This window comes from Homo sapiens, chromosome 3, assembly GCF_000001405.40.
Source record: "Homo sapiens chromosome 3, GRCh38.p14 Primary Assembly".
Classification (NCBI taxonomy): Eukaryota; Metazoa; Chordata; class Mammalia; order Primates; family Hominidae; genus Homo; species Homo sapiens.
Window position 1 is genome coordinate 197,853,854 of NC_000003.12, and position 16,157 is coordinate 197,870,010.

Below are 16,157 nucleotides of genomic sequence, written 5' to 3' on the forward strand. Positions count from 1 at the left end.
AAGTTTGATAAATTTAATGTGTGTTTTCTTTTTTACCCCAATATTTCCTTCTTGATGATTGTTTTCAAGTAATTCATTCTCAAGAAAACTAAAGCTCCACAGGAAAATAACATAAACAGTTCTAAAAATTGTAATTGTACTTTTCATTTTGCTTAAGAAAGAAAATGAAGAGATACTTAGACTAGAAATTATGACTCTGGGCTTCTTGTTTGTTACTGGCTCACTAAATGACCATAGGTTCTTTATGTTATTGTTACATCTCTCTCCAGCTTTCTGTTCCCTCCTTGCTTTGTAAGGTTTTAGGCAATAAGATCGTATTTGAAGTTGTTTAAACTCTGGGAGAAGATCAGTACTCAGAACCAACTTACTGACTATTATAATGCATGAATTCCAGATGATTGTGAATGTGGTCCTCTATGTCAACGTCTTCAAAAGTATGTCTTAATATGTCTCTTCCCTTGTGTGTGTATTCGTGAAATACGTCACACGTGTGCGTAGTTTGTTTCTGACATGGCTTCATTTTTCTCCATCTCTCCAGTGCCCCTTCCCATCCAGAAGGTCTCAGCACACTGATGATAGTGCCTTGTGCATGGTAAGAGTTTTGCACAAAACGGAGTTTCGCATTTCTGTGTTTAGAGATTGTACTTTTTATTCAGAAACTATCTAAATACCATAAAACATGATGAACATCATTACTAAATGCTTTATGAAGAACTAAACCATTTTCCCACATGACCATTTGTGATTGACCCAGTGTTTCAAAGTTCTGCAGCTCATATCTTTGTCAGTGCCACCGAAAGGAAAACATTTGCCTTGAGAACCATATTGGCTTTGTGTGTGCTGGGAATGGAGGCATAACATAATATTCATGTTTTAAATGTGTCTAATTCCAGGAGCACTTACTTTATTAATCATTAATTTGGCTCATGGGTCACCTATATGTTAAGGTGACTCATGACACTGATTGCACAGCTGTATATTTGGCATCCAATTTTATGATGTATTTTCAGCTACTGAAAATCCTTCACTTTGGTTTTAAATACTTACAGCTCAAGATTATTCCTTCATGTTCACTTTTTAAACCCAAGGAAACATTAACTGCTGATCGTGTTGAACACTGGCTTACTTTTATTGCCTGTTTCATCAGCTCAAAATGAGTATAAGATGGAAGGTTTATTTAACATCTTATTAGCCTTGCGAAAGAATTCTAACCATTTCTAGAATTTCTTTCCCCATCATGTTTTATGTGATTGTTTTCATAGTAGTACGTTCAGAGGTCTAGTGCCTACAGTGCTAGTAACTGCTGCCAGGGTGCATCCTGCTGCGTGAGCTGCATGCCTCAGCATGACATTCCTGTTACATCAGCTTCCGTGGTCTGTTCGCATTGCTGTGTATTCCACAACCTTCATTTCCTTTGAGATGGATAAAGCACCTTTTAACTGGGCGGTCTTATAGGTGAATACAATCATCACACTCTAGAGTTTTAGTTTAAGTGAATTGGCCTAAGAAGCGAATAATAAGTTAAAAATGTAGACAAATATTGAGAGCCTCCGACGATCCAAACACTTACCAAAATTATCTCATTTACTCCTCGCAGCAACCTTAAGAGTGAAGGTTAAACTTATCACCTTTTTACAAATGATTACTGAGGCCCAGAATGTGACTTGTCCAATGTCGCATAGACAGTAAGTGCAAGGCTGGGAATCCACATCTGTCTGGCTGATGGGAGAACCTGCATTAAACACCATACTGAAACTGAAAACCGTTTAGGAAACCGAAGGTTTAATAACACATGGAATAAGTGGTATAAGTCTGAGTGCCAAGACTTTTTTGTCAACAAAACAGTGGAATTTAGAAAAACAACAACAGCAAAATCCCCTTAGTGCGTAACTTGAAATTCCCTTCGGCCGTTTGTCAAAACACACTCACTTAAGTCTTAGTTCTCAGTATTCATATCTGATCCTCCAAATTAGACGGCCTTTAAAACACATCTCACATTTCTTTGTCTGCCAAATAGTGTCCAACCAACACTGTGCAAAAAGAGTCGTATTTTAAATAAAACCTCATATTATCAAAACTGTGCTTCAGAAGGCTCCCGTTGCTTAGAGTGAAGTCCGAACGTGGCCTCGAAGCTCCCTCGTGCTCTACTGCCTCCCTCTCCAGTCTCCTCTCTGGGCTTGTGCCATACCAGCATTGTTTCCAGCTCTTCAAATATCATAAGCCCTTTCCCATCTCAGACCTTTGCAAATGCTGTTTCTTTTACATAGAATGCCTTTCCCTCCCTGCATGTACCCCTTGATTAATTCCTACTCACCTATCAGGTATTTGTTTAAATGTTCCATCTTTAACATGACTTTTCGGCAGCCCACCACCCTTAAATCAGCCCACAGTTTGACAGTTAAATAAACTGACAGGAGCTCCAGTGCGTTTGATGAAAAGGAGGCCCGGGAAGTATACATAGTGTATTACTGTTGTCACGGTAATTTTTTTATCATGGTAGTTTTATTTGGGTGTTTATTATTTTATTTTGTATTTTTAAATTTAATTTTATTCTTTATTTTTATTTATTTATTTAATTATTTTGAGACAGAGTCTCCCTCTGTTGCCGAGGCTGGAGTGCAGTGGCATGAACATGGTTCCTTGAAGCATCAGCCTCTTGAGTAGCTGGGACTACGGGTGCATGCACCACACGTGGCTAATTTTTTTATTTTTTTGTAGAGTCAGGGTCTCACTGTGTTGCCCAGGCTGGTCTCTAACTCCAGGGCTCAAGCAATCCTCCTGCCCCAGCCTCCCAAAGTGCTGAGATTACAGGCATGAGCCACCGTGCCCAGCTTGTTTATTCTTTTATTATCTCTTTTCTGTTGGACTACTAGACTATAAGCTTCATGAACACAAGGATATTCTATTTTGTCTTAATGTACCTTAATACACTCCATCCCTACCACAGTTCCTGGGATATATTAGGTGCTCAGTAAATATTTCCTGAATGAACATATAAATTCTGTGCATCTACTGATTATTAAATTGTTTTGTGATGAAAAGGTCTGATGAACGATATCATAAGGTAAATGCTGAATTTGATTTAAAGACCTTGAAACTTACGATTTGAAATGAAGATTTATAACAGCTAATATCAGTTTACACTGACATTGTCTTCGGGCTGCCCCTCAAGCTTCTATTAATATCAGTTTACACTGACATTCTCTTCGGGCTACCCCTCAAGCTCCTGTTAATATCAGTTACACTGACATTATCTTTGGGCTACCCCTCAAGCTCCTGTTAACATCAGTTTACACTGACATTGTCTTCGGGCTACCTCTCAAGCTCCTGTTAATATCAGTTTACACTGACATTGTCTTCGGGCTACCCCTCAAGCCCCTGTTAATATCAGTTACACTGACATTCTCTTCCGGCTACCCCTCAAGCTCCTGTTAATATCAGTTTACACTGACATTGTCTTCGGGCTACCCCTCAAGCTCCTGTTAATATCAGTTTACACTGACATTGTCTTCGGGCTACCCCTCAAGCTCCTGTTAATATCAGTCACACTGACATTCTCTTCCGGCTACCCCTCAAGCTCCTGTTAATATCAGTTTACACTGACATTGTCTTCGTTCTGCCCCTCAAGCTCCTGCTAGTATCAGTTACACTGAGATTCTCTTCAGGCTACCCCTCAAGCTCCTGCTAGTATCAGTTACACTGACATTCTCTTCGGGCTACCCCTCAAACTCCTGTTGCTTTCGTCTATATCAGGTCTCATTTTAAAAGAATATGAGGCTCATTTTACCTCTTCTTCCTCCACTCCTAGTTTTCCTTTTTATATTTGACATTGGCAGTAGTTCCAGTACCTTTGATTAAAAAGCAGGCCCAGGAAATCTAAACCCCAGAAGTATACACAGTGTATTACCATTGTCACAGTTTTGCTCTTTGGTATATTTTTATCTTCATTATTTGCTGCCTTAAGATAGATTTTGTGATACATATAATACATTGTGTGTTACATGCTGCTTTTGTTAAATAAAAATATGTTAATTCTCATTAAAAATACAGTTGTATTTATTTCATTGACCATATACATACCTTTTCCTAAACACCTGTTTGTTTTCTTGTTCATTTATCTCATAGTTTAGAAATTTATGGTCCTAGTTTAAATTTTTAAAAATTACTTATAAAGACTTCACTATTTTTAAGCTCTTGGCATTTTGTTGTTTTAATAGGTAAAACCTTATCCAGGGCTCTTTGTGAAAGTATTGTCTTCTCTGATTTCCACTCTCCATGTGGCAAATGAGAAAAATTGTCATGTTTTGAGCACCTCTTACCTGTAATCAAAATTCTATGTAATACTTTAAATTTTTGTCTTTTTAATTGACAATAATTATATAGATACAATCTATCTCTAATACAGCTAACCAGTTGTTATGTTGGTTGGTGAAAGATAAAGGATTCGAAGAAAAGGGAAATTCCACCTTCCCCTCTTATAGTCATTAGGAGTTTCACAGAGGCAGAGATGAAATGCCGGTTCCTCCTTTAGGTTGATGCAGAATCCTCATGTCCTAATTATAATATATATAATTTGGATTAATGTTGAAAAGATATTGTTTTTATTGATGCCAGTTCTGCTTGGTTAAAACCCCTCATCGTAGGAACAGGACTCACTAGTTTCAAGGCTACTATGCTAACAATGTTGATGTTCTGTTTTATTTCTGCATAAAATCATTTTTCAGAAATCATGCCTCTCATTTCTTGATTAATGTGGCATGAGGTATTGAGACTATCCTGAATTATACAAGTGGAAAAACTGTGTCCATGGGTTTTTGTCCCCCAAATATTCTCTTCCTGCCCTGTCAGTAGCTTAGTAAACCATTTGAAAGATCGTCAGTGACCTTTCCTTTTCTCATTTCACTAGTCAGATCTGCCTGCCTGACATTTGCTAACATAAATGCTGCCTTCTGTTTCTTCTCTTTCTCATTTGAAATGTAGTCGCTGTCAGGGTTGAATCAAGTGGGCTGTGCTGCTACCCTGCCTCATTCTTCTGCCTTCACGCCTCTTAAGGTATCTCTTGTTATTGTAATTCACCAGGAAGTTTGGGGAGGAGGTGGATATAAGGTCTTGAATTTTTTGGTGAATTGATCTAACAATCTGAAATATAGGATCGCATAAATATACCTGTTTATGGAACTATTTGTTTAACATTGATTTCCCTTGAAATTTTTTGAAAGTTTTATGATGCTAGAGATAGTCATAGAGCTCACATTAATTCTTCGTATTCAGATTGTTTGATGTGTCATTCTGATTTTTTTATCAAAGGTGTTTTTCTTGTGAGTTATTATTTCACTTTGGTTAGTATATAATATTGAATTAACTCTGTTGTCTAATGTGCATGCAAAATAATTTGAGTCCAAAAAAACTATCACTACCAAAACCTTCTACAGTAGGGGTCAACCAACTATGGCCCCTAGGCCACCTGTTTATAAGTAAAGCTTTATTTTTACATAGCCAGTCCCTTTTGTTTATGCATTGCCTATGGCTGCTTGCACAGTAAACAGCTGAGGTGGAATAATTGTGACCAACATCATATACCTACAAGCCTAAAATATGTACAGTCTGGCCCTATAAGAAAAAAAATCGCAAACCCCTGCTTTTTATCAGCAATAATGTCATAAGAGATGATACATTCCACCTTCTGGAAAAATTTAATCTAAACTCTAAAAATTAAGAACCTGTAGTATTTTATTTTTTGAAGGCCTCTAGGAGTGGTAATTCCATATTTGTTATCACTGGATATGTACAAAATGATCAATAATTCTCACTGTCAAGAAGACCTTTGTCTAACTTACAACTGTCCTGCTGTGGTTTATACTTCTTTTCTTTCCAGAGTGGAGATTTTCTAGTTATTTAGCATTTTTTAATGTAAGAATCCTTTTTTTTTTTACACAAAATACAATATTTTTTTAATGTAAGAATTTAAAAACAATTACGATGCCATCCTTAGCTTCTTCCTAAATAAACTCAGATTCTTTTACATGCCTTTCCCAGACTGTTCATCTTTAATGAATTTTCACAAGTTCTGTGCCCTCCATTCTGGCTTCATGGTCCAAACTAGAAATACATCCCTCGTTAGAGCTTGCTCATTTAGGGTGATTTTTAAATTTTTGGTCTTCATTTTGCTCAGTATCCACTGGAATTCTCAAATATTTTAGTTATACCTCTTCTATGTGTTGAGACAGGGTCCTGCTCTGTCTCCCAGGCTGGATCCTCCCTCCCTAGCCTCCTGAGTAGCTGGGAATACAGATGCGCACCACCATGCCTGGCTGACTTTTTAAGTTTTTGTAGAAACAAGGTCTCACTGTATTGCCCAGGCGGGTCTCAAACTCCTGGGCTCAAGAGATCATCCTGCCTCGGCCTCCCAAAGTGCTAGGTGTCAGCCACTGCGCCCAACCTCCTTCAACTTCTAAATGACAGTTACTTTCCACGTGTTGTATTCTTTATTTTTTCTTGAATATTTAATTTTGCTGTTTGAATATTTTTACTTGTCTCATGTACCAGAATACTTTCAAATTGTTGCATTGAGCCAGGTACACTGGCTCACACCTGTAATCCCAGTGTTGGTAGCCCGAGGGGGAATACAATTGAGGCCAGGAACTCAAGACTGCAGTGAGCTGTGATCACACCACTGTACCCCAGCCTGGGACAGTGCAAGACTGTGTCTCTAAAAACATTAAAACCGAATTCTTGTATCATGTCCTTTTTTTTTTTACTTTTTAATTTTTGTGGGTACATAGTAAGTGTGTATATGGGGTTCATGAGGTATTTTGATATAGGTATACAGTGCATAATAATTATATCAGGTAAATGGGCTATCCATCACCTCAAGCATTTATCCTTTGTGTTACAAACAATCCAGTTATACTCCTTTAGTTATTTTTAAATGTACAATTAAATTATTGACTGTGATGACCATTTTGTACTATCAAATGCTGGATCTTATTCTTTTTATTTTTTTTGGACCCATTAACTGTCCCCATTTCCTTCCCCCACCCTCCCACTACCCTTCCCAGCCTCCGGTAACCCTCAGTTTAGTCTGTCTGCATTGTGCTTTTTTAAATGCTGACCCCAACTTTTTTTTTTTTTTTTTGAGACGGAGTTTTGCTCTTGTTGCCCAGGTTAGAGTGCAATGGCACAATCTCGGCTCACTGCAACCTCTGCCTCCTGGGTTTAAAGCGATTCTCATGCCTCAGGCTTCCGAGTAGCTGGGATTACAGGTGCCCACCACCAAGCCCGGCTAATAACCTCAACTTTATAACAACTGTAAATCTGAGAAACCTCCTCTGGTTATTGTTGAGCATGCCCTACATACCTGGATGCCTCCTGAAAAAACTTCATAATTCTCTTCCATGTGAACCCTTTGCTAGCCGTTCTCAACTGGGATCCTTACTGGAACAACACAGAAAATTATTTCAGCAACTTTTTTTCAAAATGATCTCAAGGAAGGTCCATAACTGGCACCATTCTAGATGTATGGGAGAGAAGTTAATTTGTTGTACTCCATGAACACCTTCGGGCATTGTGGCTTATTCAGAGTCATAACTGAGAGTTGTTTTGACTGTGCCAAAAGTTGTGTGGTCCAGACAGACCACAGTGTCTTGTTCTACAGTGACTGTCATATGAGATTAAAAATAAAACTTCACTAGATTTAAGATAGATAAGTCTTTTTTTTCTATCCGACCTGCTGTACTGTCAAATTATTATTTTAAAAGATTTATTCTTTATTTTTTTAGTATCTCTATTACTTTCACAGCAATTATACATTATACTTATGAATTTATTTCTTTTATTGCTTAGCTAGGCTTAAAAGTTGAGTTTATATCAGTTCTGGGTTTTTTTTTCTTTCCATTGCCTCAATTCTCTAGTGAGAGATTATTTCTTAACCTTTTTTTTGCTCTCCAGTTTTCCAAGAGTTCCCAAATGTAGTTAATGGCCTCACAGTGATTTAAGCTAATGATTTTTAGTATCCTAGAATGCAAGTCACTTAGATTTATAGCTTTAATAAAAATACATTTCAGAAACCATTTTTACACGTCTCCTCTCCTCTGGCTTTGTTTTCATCACGCCCAGTAGTATATTATCTGTTGCTGTTTCTTTCTTTTTTGTTTTCCTTTGAGACGGACTCTTGCTCTGTCGCTCAGGCTGGAGTGCAGTGGTGAGATCTCAGCTCACTACAAACCTCTGCCTCCCAGTTTCAAGTGATTCTCCTGCCTCAGCCTCCCGAGTAGCTGCGATTACAGGCGCATGCCACCACGCCCAGCTAATTTTTGTATTTTTAGTAGAGATGGGATTTTACCGTGTTGGCCAGGCTGGTTTCAAACTCCTGACCTCAGGCAATCTGCCCACCTCTGCCTCCCGAAGTGCTGGGATTACAGGCGTGAGCCTACTGCGCCCGGCCTGTTGCTGTTTCAAACCGAAGGAGAGAACATTCGCTGCCCTTCATTGTTGTTTCAGCTCTTCTCATCTCATAAAGTTGCCTGTTAACTTTCTCCTTTTATTCCTTAATACTTTTAAATTTCTAGTCTATGTCCTGTTAATAGGAAGTGTTTTTTAAATTTCTAGTCTATGTCCTGTTAATAAGTGTTTTTTAAATTTCTAGTCTATGTCCTGTTAATAAGTGTTTTTTAAATTTTTGAAAATATTTTTTCCTCCATTGTCTAGAATAATCTCTACCTTGAATGTTTCTCTTTTTGTATTATTGGTCCTTGAACATGTCTTTGTTTAACCAATTTTCTACTTATTCACAACCCTGGAAAATAAACATAGTCTTTTACTTCCTTGTAAAGATATCTGGCTTTTGCCTCATTTACCTGTTCATTCCTTTTACCAGTTTCTGTTACTCTTGTTTGAATTAAATTTCTTATTTAAATTTCCATTTTTTCTCAACACCCAGAACTTAGTTTACTTGCATCTATAAACCCGATGAACGTGTCTTTTCCACTTAAGATGTGAACACACTGCCTTACGAGCTCAGCTCACTGTTTAAATCTTAGTTCTCCACCTGTGATATCAAACTAAGGAATTGTTACCAGAAAATTGTCTCCAAGTGAGTCTTGAGAATTTTCTCAACATATGGCCTTGGTTTATTTATTTATTATTTATTTATTTATTTTTAGCAGTTAAAATTATTTGTCCTCATTTATCTGACCCAACTGTAAGTAGCGATGTAAGAGTTCTGAAAATATTGAAACCAATGGTAGGGAAAGTATGGGAGCAGATTTGTATGTTTGTGTTAATTTTAGAGTCATTATGTCCAGAAATGTGCCTTAGTCGTATCATAAAGTTATAATATATTTAGATTATATTTCAAGGCAATTAGATGTCAAGGCCTAAAAAACTATTAATGTTATTCTAGCTTTTCTTTTATTTATTTATTTATTTTGAGATGGAGTCTCACTCTGTTGCCCAGGCTGGAATGCAGTGGCGCCATCTCGGCTCACTGCAACCTCCGCCTCCATGTTCAAGCGATTCTCCTGCCTCAGCCTCCCAAGTAGCTGGGACTACAGGCGCCACCACCATGCCCACCTAATTTTTGTATTTTTAGTAGAGACGGGGTTTCACCATGTTGGCCAGGATGGTCTCAATCTCTTGACCACGTGATCCACCCACCTCAGCCTCCCAAAGTGTTGGGATTACAGATGTGGCCCATCGCGCTCGGCCTATTCTAGCTTTTCTTAACTGTACTCCCCTGCCAAGTCTTCAGCAGCTTTAACCTAGTCAACCTACATTTCTTTGTAAATTAGCTTAACTACATTTCCCTTTCTTTAGGTAAGCTTTGTAACTGTTTGGCTAGTTCTTCCTCCTTTTTACAGTTCTTTTGGTCAATGAATTGAAAATGTCTTGGACTCAAATACTAGTGTAGAAAATATATCTATCATCTCTTAAACATCTTCTCTCCTAACCGAAATTAGGAAACCTATATTACTTTTTAAAAATATTAAATTTTATTCTCCAGAGAAAAAAGTACTTTAGAAACTATTATGGAGAAATACTATTAGAAAATAAAATGTTGCTTTTTCTTTCTCATATATTTCCCAGTAACATTTTCTGTCTTAGGATGATCATTTTTCATAGTCTTAGGAAGAGCTTGTTAAATAATGGACTGTCTTTATATAAACACAACTAGGCCGGGCGTGGTGGCTCATGCCTATAATCCCAGCACTTTGGGAGGTCGAGGCAGGTGGATCACCTGAGGGTCGGGAGTTTGAGACCAGCCTGACCAACATGGAGAAACCCTGTCTCTACTAAAAATACAAAATTAGCCAGGTGTGGTGGCACATGCCTATAATCCCAGCTACTCGGGAGGCTGAGGCAGGAGAATCACTTGAACCCGAAAGGCAGAGGTTGTGGTGAGCTGAGAGTGCTCTATTGCACTCTAGCCTGGGCAACAAGAGCGAGACTCCATCTCAAAAATAAAAAATAAAAACAGCTGGGCGTGGTGGCTCATGCCTGTAATCCCAGCACTTTGGGAGGCCGAGGCAGGCGAATCACCTGAGGTTGGGAGTTCGAGAACGGCCTGACTAACATGGAGAAACCCCGTATCTACTAAAAATACAAAAAAATTAGCTGGGTATGGTGGTGCATGCCTGTAATCCCAGCTACTTGGGAGGCTGAGGCAGGAGAATTGCTTGAACCCGGGAGGCGGAGGTTGTGGTGAGCTGAGATCGTGCCATTGCACTCCAGCCTGGGCAATAAGAGCTAAACTCCATCTCAAAAAAAAAAAAACAAAAAACAAAAAAACAAAAACTTGGCTTTTAAAAATACAGAATTAATTCATTTCACCAAATCCTCATTTCTTTTTCTTCTTCTTCTTTTTTTTTTTTTTTTTCCAAAGGGGGTCAGGCCAGGCACGGTAACTCATGCCTATAATCCAGCACTTTGGGAGGCTGAGGCGGGTGCATCGCTTGAGCTCAGGAGGTTGAGACTAACCTGGCTAACATGGCAAGACACTGTCTCTACAAAAAATGCAAAAATTAACTGGGCATGGTGATGTGTCCCTGTAGTCTCAACTACTTGGGAGGCTGAGGTAGAAGGATCACCTGAGCCTGGGAGATCATGGCATTGCAATCTAGCCTGGGCAACAAGAGTGAGACCTTGTCTCAAAAAAAGAGAGAGAGAGGGAGAGAGAGAGTCTCCCTCTGTCACCCAGGCTGGAGTGCAGTGGCACAATCATTACTCACTGCAGTCTTTAATTCCTAGGCTCAAGCAACCCTCCCTCCTCAGCCTCTACAGGAGCACACCACAATGCCTGACCAATTTTTTAGACGTTTTGTAGAGACAGGGTCTCACTATGTTGCCTAGGCTGGTCTCAACTCCTGCTCTCAAGTAATCCTCGCACCTCAGCCTCCCAAAGTACTGGGATTACAGGCATGAGCCACTGCACCTGACCCAAATTCTCACCTCTAGACTTAATCGTGAAGGAGAGTTACCTGTTTTTTGTCTTTTATAATTTCAAAATTACCATAAAAGTAGAAAGTATTTCTTCTTGAATAACAATTATTGATATATGTCTGTTTCTCCACAGAGTGATGACAGACCTAATGCTCTATTAAGTTCACCTGCAACAGAAACAGGTAATAGACACAAAGGTGCAATTAACCACATCAAGATTATAATTCTTTATTTTTTTATTTAAAAAATAATAATAAATAGAGACGAGGCCTTTCTGTGTTGACCAGGGTGGTCTCAAACTCCTGGGCTCAAGGGATCCTCCTGCCTTGTTCTCCCAAAGTGGTGGGATTACAGATGTAAGCCACAGCACCCGGCTAAGATTATAATTTTTTACCAAGATTTTCCTAAATTACTTGTTAGAGAGCTGTGGCTGCTTTTTCTGAGATAGAAATCAGATACAGAATTGGAAACCACTGGGTTTTTTTTTTTTTTTCCCATTTTTAAATTAAATTGGTTGCTCAGCTAGTCAGCCATTTGATATGAATAAGTGAACAACAGCCGTAGGTCTGCGGGAGACTGTTCAATATGATAACATTCATTCTGCCTTTATTGATAACACCAAAAATAACATGACAATGTAAAATACATACAAGCGGTCCTCCTGGTTTCATGATTATTTTCTGTACCAGACTTTTCATCATTAAATAGAATTATTTTATATCATTGCCATGTTTATTTTTTACTTGTTACTTTTGTAACTTGTATGTCTGCTATTATATTTTCATCTCCTTTAATCTCATTTTATTTTTCATGCTAATTTAGTTCATCATTCCCCTGCATATTCTTTTCCTGCTGCTATCCAGAGAAATCAGCCTCAGCGCCCTGAAAGCTTCCTTTTCCGAGCAGGTGTCAGGGCAGAAACCAACAAAGGTAGGTGGTGGTGATTTTAAAAGCCAGGAGCGAGGGGAGGTTTACACAACGACGCTAGCTGTTAGATGGATGCTTTTAAACTTCTGCATATAGTATAAGACAAAGCTATCAGCTCGGCAAAAGCATGTGTCTGTGATCTCACTGATACTAAAGCAGGAAAATCTTATCTGAATTTGTTTGGATGAGAAAGTTTCTTAGTGCCACCTAAAAGCAGGTTATAGAGTGTTTGAACAAATAAAATGCGCTTTCGAGGCTTTAGAGAATGTTCTTTGTCTTGGTAATGAACTCTTTTTCACATTTTTCTATTGATAAAAGCTGTTTTCTTAAAACAATAATTGTTTTAAAATCTACTTTAAGTCTCATGTTCTTTTAGTTAATAATGACAAATTTCTCCCTGGTCCCCAAAGAAGTTACCTGGGAGTGGAAACAAACATTTCAAGTCAAAAATAACAACTTTTATCATGGTGGTGTGTGCCTGTGGTCCCAGCTACTTGGGAAGCTGGCGGGGAGGATTGCTTGAGCCCAGGACTTCAGGGTTACAATGAGTTATAATTAAAAGCACCACTGTTCTCCAGCTTGGCCAACAGAGCAAGACTCTGTCTCTTAAAACAAACAAACAAACAAACAAACAAAAATAAGGTCAGGCGTGGTGGCTCACGCCTGTGATCCCAGTGCTTTGGGAGGCCAAGGCAGGCAGATCACTTGAGGTCGGGAGTTTGAGATCAGCCTGGCTAACGTGGTGAAACCCTGTCTCTATTAAAAATACAAAAAATGGCTGGGCACGGTGGCTCACACTTGTAATCCCAGCACTTTGGGAGGCCAAGGCGAGCAGATCACGTCATTTGAGGAGTTCATGACCAGCCTGGCCAACATGGCGAAACCCCGTCTCTACTGAAAAAATACAAAAATTAGCCGGGTGTGGCAGCAGGCGCCTGTAATTCCTGCTACTCAGGAGGCTGAGGCAGGAGAATTGCTTGAACTTGGGAGGCAGAAGTTGCAGTGAGCCAAGATGGCGCCACTATACTCCAGTCTGGGCGGTAGAGTAACAAACTGGCCAGGCATGGTGGCAGGCGCCTGTAATCCCAGCTACTCGGGAGGCTGAGGCAGAGTCGCTTGAACCCAGGAGGTGGAGGCTGTAGTGAGCTGAGATTGCGCCACTGCACTCCAGCATGGATGACAGTGTGAAACTTATGTCTCAAAAAAAATTAAAAAATAGGCCAGGCGTGGTGGCACGTGCCTGTAATCCTCGCACTTTGGGAGGCCGAGGTAGATGGGATCACTTGAGCTCAGGAGTTCGAGACCATCCTGTGCAACATGGCAAAACCCCATCTCTTAAAAAAATACAAAAAATTGGCTGGGTGCGGTGGCTCACACTTGTAATCCCAGCACTTTGGGAGGCTGAGGCGGGCAGATCACGAGGTCAGGAGATCGAGACCATCCTGGCTAACACGGTGAAACCCCATCTCTACTAAAAATACAAAAAAAATTAGCCAGGCATGGTGGCAGGTGCCTGTAGTCCCAGCTACTCGGGAGGCTGAGGCAGGAGAATGGTGTGAACCCGGGAGGCAGAGCTTGCAGTGAGCCGAGATCGCACCACCGCACTCCAGCCTGGGTGACAGAGCGAGACTCCGTTTCAAAAACAAAAACAAACAAACAAAAAAAGGCATGGTGGTGCAGGCCTGTAGTCACAGCTACTTGTGGGGCTGAGGCGGGAGGATGGATTGAGCCCAGGAGGTTGAGGCTGAAGTGAGTCAAGATTGCGCGATTGCACTCCAGCTTGGGTAACAAAGTGAAACCCTGTCTCAAAAAAACAAAAAAAACACAACTTACCTTCAATGTTACCAACAGATGCATTCACAGTAAGATTTAAAAGTCAAACTACAGATGCACTGCTGGTGAGAGTGTAAGAAAGCATGGAAGACTGTTATCAGTCAGCCTCTGTACCCACAGATTCTGTATTTATGGATTCAACCAGTCATGGACAGAAAAATCTTCAGAAACAAGACAACGATAATAAACAATGCCACAATAAAGAAATAATACTAATTTTGAAATACAGTATAGTAACAATTTATATAGCATTTACATTGTATTAAGTATTGTAAGTAACAGAGATGATTTAAAGTATAGTATAAAGGAGGATATGCATAGTTTGTATGCAAATAATACTACATTTTATATGAGTGACTTGAGCGTCCACAAAGTTTGGTATGAGAGAGGTGGTTTCTGGAACTAATTTCCCCTGGATACTGACGGATGACTGTGTACCCTATGACCAGCAGTTTTACTTTTGAGAAATATGTACACACGTGTACCAACAACGTGTACAAAAATATTCATAGCAGCATTATTCATAATAGCCTGAAACTGAATGTCCATCAAGAGAATGGATAAATGAATTGTGGTATATTTGTACAATGGAATACCATATAAGCAATGAAAATGAACCAATTCCTATATACAGCAACATGGATAAATCTCATAAACTTACCATTGATCAAAGGAAGCCAGAAGCAAAAGAATACATACAATACAGCATAATTTATACAAAGTTCAAAAATGAACCAGACCAGCCTACAGTGTTAGAAGTCAGGGTGCGGTTTTGAGCACGTTGGGTACTTATGGGCAAGGAGCATGGAAGGGGCTCCTGGGATTGGTAAGATTGCATTAAAAACCTGATTGTGTTCACTTGGTGAGGAGAATTTTTTGAGCACTGTGCTTACGATTTGTGTATTTTTCTGTGTATTAATTTTCAATAAAAACATTTTTAAGTGGATGTAATCAAACAAAAGTAGTTGAGTCAACTGGGTAATGAACATTACATATTTTTCTATACTATTCTCTGTTGTGTATATTTGAAAATCTCCATAATAAAAACCCTTTTAAAAAGTCAATCCAGAAAGTGGAAAGCAATATACTGTACTTGCAGGAAGTAGAAACCAATATACTGTACTTGCAGGAAGTAGAAAGCGATGCACTGTACCTGCAGGAAGTAGAAAGCGATGCACTGTACCTGCAGGAAGTAGAAAGCGATACACTGTACCTGCAGGAGGTAGAAAGCGATGCACTGTACCTGCAGGAGGTAGAAAGCCATGCACTGTACCTGCAGGAAGTAGAAAGCGGTGCACTGTACCTGCAGGAAGTAGAAAGCGGTGCACTGTACCTGCAGGAAGTAGAAAGCGGTGCACTGTACCTGCAGGAGGTAGAAAGCCGTGCACTGTACCTGCAGGAGGTAGAAAGCGGTGCACTGTACCTGCAGGAAGTAGAAAGCGGTGCACTGTACCTGCAGGAGGTAGAAAGCCGTGCACTGTACCTGCAGGAGGTAGAAAGCGATGCACTGTACCTGCAGGAGGTAGAAAGCGATGCACTGTACCTGCAGGAAGTAGAAAGCGATACACTGTACCTGCAGGAGGTAGAAAGCCATGCAGTGTACCTGCAGGAGGTAGAAAGCCATGCAGTGTACCTGCAGGAGGTAGAAAGCGATGCACTGTACCTGCAGGAGGTAGAAAGCGATGCACTGTACCTGCAGGAGGTAGAAAGCGATGCACTGTACCTGCAGGAGGTAGAAAGCGATGCACTGTACCTGCAGGAGGTAGAAAGCGATGCACTGTACCTGCAGGAGGTAGAAAGCGATACACTGTACCTGCAGGAGGTAGAAAGCCATGCAGTGTACCTGCAGGAGGTAGAAAGCCATGCACTGTACCTGCAGGAGGTAGAAAGCGATGCACTGTACCCGCAGGAGGTAGAAAGCGATGCACTGTACCCGCAGGAGGTAGAAAGCCATGCACTGT

General features: G+C 40.0%; 1 protein-coding gene across 18 annotated transcripts in view, besides 5 other annotated features; it reads left to right on the forward strand.

Annotated features, from left to right (window-relative positions):
• The window catches only part of LRCH3 (leucine rich repeats and calponin homology domain containing 3), a 97,211-nt gene that overhangs the window by 62,628 nt on the left and 18,426 nt on the right, over positions 1–16,157 (forward strand). For 4 of the 18 annotated variants that reach the window (XR_007095758.1, NM_001363887.1, NM_001365715.1 and 1 more), the window contains exons 14-17: positions 539–592; positions 4,981–5,052; positions 11,570–11,618; positions 12,259–12,366. Coding sequence is in view for 14 of the 18 variants with exons in the window: in NM_001363887.1 (NP_001350816.1) it covers positions 539–592; positions 4,981–5,052; positions 11,570–11,618; positions 12,259–12,366 (283 nt within the window). In the remaining 4 variants the exon portion in view is untranslated. The other 14 variants (NR_158582.1, NM_001365716.1, NM_001365718.1 and 11 more) reach the window with 8 other exon arrangements.
• Positions 683–1,338: an enhancer, noted in NCBI's record as "OCT4-NANOG-H3K27ac-H3K4me1 hESC enhancer chr3:197581407-197582062 (GRCh37/hg19 assembly coordinates)". NCBI's record gives its function as "activates a minimal SCP1, AML or CMV promoter by ChIP-STARR-seq in primed H9 embryonic stem cells {active_cell/tissue: H9 hESC(primed)}" and the evidence as "EXISTENCE:reporter gene assay evidence [ECO:0000049][PMID:30033119]".
• Positions 683–2,028: a biological region, named in NCBI's record as "MED14-independent group 3 enhancer GRCh37_chr3:197581553-197582752".
• Positions 829–2,028: an enhancer, noted in NCBI's record as "MED14-independent group 3 enhancer chr3:197581553-197582752 (GRCh37/hg19 assembly coordinates)". NCBI's record gives its function as "activates an origin of replication core promoter dependent on BRD2, BRD4, P300/CBP and CDK7 cofactors, and independent of MED14, by STARR-seq in HCT116 cells {active_cell/tissue: HCT116}" and the evidence as "EXISTENCE:reporter gene assay evidence [ECO:0000049][PMID:35650434]".
• Positions 1,339–1,994: an enhancer, noted in NCBI's record as "OCT4-NANOG-H3K27ac hESC enhancer chr3:197582063-197582718 (GRCh37/hg19 assembly coordinates)". NCBI's record gives its function as "activates a minimal SCP1, AML or CMV promoter by ChIP-STARR-seq in primed H9 embryonic stem cells {active_cell/tissue: H9 hESC(primed)}" and the evidence as "EXISTENCE:reporter gene assay evidence [ECO:0000049][PMID:30033119]".
• Positions 13,302–13,837: an enhancer, noted in NCBI's record as "H3K27ac-H3K4me1 hESC enhancer chr3:197594026-197594561 (GRCh37/hg19 assembly coordinates)". NCBI's record gives its function as "activates a minimal SCP1, AML or CMV promoter by ChIP-STARR-seq in primed H9 embryonic stem cells {active_cell/tissue: H9 hESC(primed)}" and the evidence as "EXISTENCE:reporter gene assay evidence [ECO:0000049][PMID:30033119]".